The 3,256-nt window shown below is 39.2% G+C and overlaps 1 annotated feature.

Annotated features, from left to right (window-relative positions):
• Positions 1,736 to 2,560: an enhancer, noted in NCBI's record as "OCT4-NANOG-H3K4me1 hESC enhancer chr13:47521457-47522281 (GRCh37/hg19 assembly coordinates)". NCBI's record gives its function as "activates a minimal SCP1, AML or CMV promoter by ChIP-STARR-seq in primed H9 embryonic stem cells {active_cell/tissue: H9 hESC(primed)}" and the evidence as "EXISTENCE:reporter gene assay evidence [ECO:0000049][PMID:30033119]".

Here is a 3,256-nt window from a genome sequence, read left to right as displayed (position 1 = left end):
ATAACAGAAAATCAATATATCTTTATTGAATAAATGAATAAAAAATTAATAATCAATGCAGTCATGGAAAACTCAGCCCAGAAGTCACTTCTGACTTAGTCTGGGAATCCTCAGGCTTTTCTTACATAAATGTCAAATAATATTGATTCTCTTCCTTACAATATCTATATTATAACATCCAAGCACCTCCTTTGGGCAATTGTACCTCTCTCTGAAGCTCCCAGGAAACCCATGTCCTAGCCAAAGATATTTCCCCTCCTGAACACAGATATGGCTCATCTTAACAATGTAGATATTTCTCATTTGGCCATGTGACATGTTCTAGCACCAAATATGTGGAAATTTTCCCACACCAAACAATTCTAATTCTCTGACTCCAACTGAGTATCTAACAATTCAGTTCTGATATCAACTCCTGGAATTAGTGCAGACCCCATGAGTTAAGAGCTCAATCATGCCAGACTACGACTCATATTTCTGCTCAGCCAACTATAAGTTTGAGGGTTCCACAACCTTCCTCTCAGGTGTGATAATATGCTGTAATGACTCACAGAACTCAGGTAAGTAGTTTATTATTACCCCTTTATTATAAAGGAACACTCAGAAACAACCAAATGGAAGAGATGCACAGGGCGAGGTATGGGGAGGCAGGCACAGAGCTTCCACGTCCTTTCCAGGTATACCATTCTTTCAGAATTTCAATGTCTTCACCTACCTGGAAGCTCCCCAAAACTCACCATTTAAAGGATTTTATGGAAGTTTCATTATGTAGGCATAATTGATTAAAACGCTGGCCATTGTTGATTGAGCTCATTACCCAGACCCTCTCCCCTTCCCAGAGGTTAGGAAGTGGGGCTGAAAATTCCAAGCTTTGAATCAATTTTTGTTCTTCCTGGTGACCAGCCCCATCCTGAAGCTAATTAGAAGCCCACCACGAGCTGAATAAATAATGAATAAATGCTAATTTATTCGTTAGCATAAATTCAGTTAAGGTTGAAATGGACTTATTGTGAATAACAGAAGACGCTCCTATCTCCCTTATTGCTCAGGAAATTCTAAGGTTTTCATAAGAGCTTTGTGGGGACAAAGGACAAATATTTTGTCTTATTTTACCTCACCATGAATTGTCACTTTTCAACTTCCTCTTACCTGTAGTACACTGAAAGGGGAAATATGATCCCCTATTTGTGCCGAAATCCACTATTAAGCTATAGCATAGAGCATCATCGGGCTCCTGGATACCAATATGGCCTTAAGGCTATACACGGCTCATTAACATGACTCACTAGGTACCCAATATAGCCCCACCCCAGAAACCTGGTATGATTTCCCTAGCAGGAATTTTTCTGGAAGATAATTTATTAAGAGATCATATATCATGTGTTCCACATTTTCCCCTTCAAATTCCCACCAAATGACTATAAACCAGATTTATACATCCTGACTCTATCTGCCTTACAACAAGCTCTTGGCCTATCTAGGCCTATTCTTCTTGGTTGAAACAGCCCTGAATGCTGCCCATGAGTATCCTCGGGCATTTCTCTTTTTTTTTCAGTGTAGCTAAAACTTAAATAGTGCCTACTACATGCCAGGCACTGTACCCAATGTTTTACTGATACCAAATCAACCCTTAAAACAGTCCTTTGAGGTAGGCACCATTATTTTCTTTATTTTCCAGATAAGTAAAATGAGGCACAAATTAGTTAAGTAACTCGTCCAAAGTAATACAGGTAGTGAGTAGGGGAGGCAAGATTCAAATCCTGGCAATCTGGCAGCAGAATCCAAGCTCCTAAACCACTAAGATATTAGACCAGGTTCTACCATGGGGATCATGGCACTTGCATGCAAATTAAACCTTCCATGTTCTACTGAGTGGTTGTAAGAAGGAAACTCAGGTTTTTTTTCTCTTGCCCAGATTCCCAATGAAGGAGCCTGGAGGATTATACCCTACAAACCATAAAAATCTCATTAGATGAGTTTTTTTTTTTTTTAATGAACCCAGTATTACCTGACTGACTTTGCAATCTGACTCTGATATAACATCATACGACAAATAAAGACCCTGATTATTTTTTTGATTATTTGGTCCTGATTATTTATTTTCAAATGGTTGCCTCAAGGGCAACAGACTGAAATGGCCTTGCAAACCTGTCTTTTGTGGGGGAAATTTGCATCTGTAAAGAATCTCCATTAATGTAGTCATGACTTCCCTTTCTAGGCCTTTCCTAGATCTAGGGGAGATTGAGTCTGACACCTTTCAATGTCTGAAAAGAGACTTTCACCATCTGTTCTCTCTGAGGGCTGCTACCTATGAGGCTTCATCTACATAACAAGGCCACCTTTGCTAGCGAAGCCTCTTCCTTTCTCCTTCCCATAACTCTTCTTGCTGCTAAAACCTGTTTTTGGCCATGATCTGAGCTTGCATTTATTCTGTAACCTCGGGATGATATATAAGCTTCCGAACCTCATTGACAGGTGGTGTTTTCATTCTGAAGGCTGTGTACACATTAATAGGAAAAAAAGGCATACAAATTTATTTAATCAATCTATCTCATATCAGTGATTTTCAGCAAACATTCAGAGGGCCAAAGGACCCTACAACCCCATTAACTTAAATCAAGCACACTTTTCTACTGACTTCAAGTCTTTAGATAATAACTCAATTCTCTCAAGCAATTGTCAACTGAAGGATTCCCACCTATGACTTGTAAGACCTTGCTTTGAAATGCCTTGCCTTTTCCATTCAAACCAATGTATAGCTTCCATGTGTTGATTTATTATTTTACCTATAATACCTGTCTCCTTGAGATGTATGTAAGCCAAAGATGTGAGACAAGTCTCAATCAACTTAGAAAGTTTATCTTGCCAAGGTTCAGAATGTGCCTGTGACACAGCCTCAGGAGATTCTGATGACATGTACCCAAAGTGGCTGGGGTACAGCTTGCTTTTATACATTTTAGGGAGACATACACATCAATACATGTAAGATTCACATTGGTTTCATCTGGAAGGGCAGGACAACTCAAAGCAGGGGCTTCTAGGTCATAGGTAGATTTAAACATATTCTGATTAGCAATTGGTTGAAAGAGTTATAATAGAAAGGAATGTCTGGTTTATGCCAAGGGGTTGTGGAGACCTAGGTTTTATCATGCAGATGAAGTCTCCAAGAGGGCAGGCTTTAGAGAGAATAAACAGTAAATATTTCTTATGAGACTTAAGGTTTGTGTTGATGTTAATGCCGGAGGGGTATAATGAG

The sequence above is a fragment of the Homo sapiens genome, chromosome 13, assembly GCF_000001405.40.
Source record: "Homo sapiens chromosome 13, GRCh38.p14 Primary Assembly".
In the NCBI taxonomy this organism is placed as follows: Eukaryota; Metazoa; Chordata; class Mammalia; order Primates; family Hominidae; genus Homo; species Homo sapiens.
The sequence above is the reverse complement of the archived record's forward strand: the minus strand, read 5'-3'. Positions and strand labels throughout refer to the sequence as shown.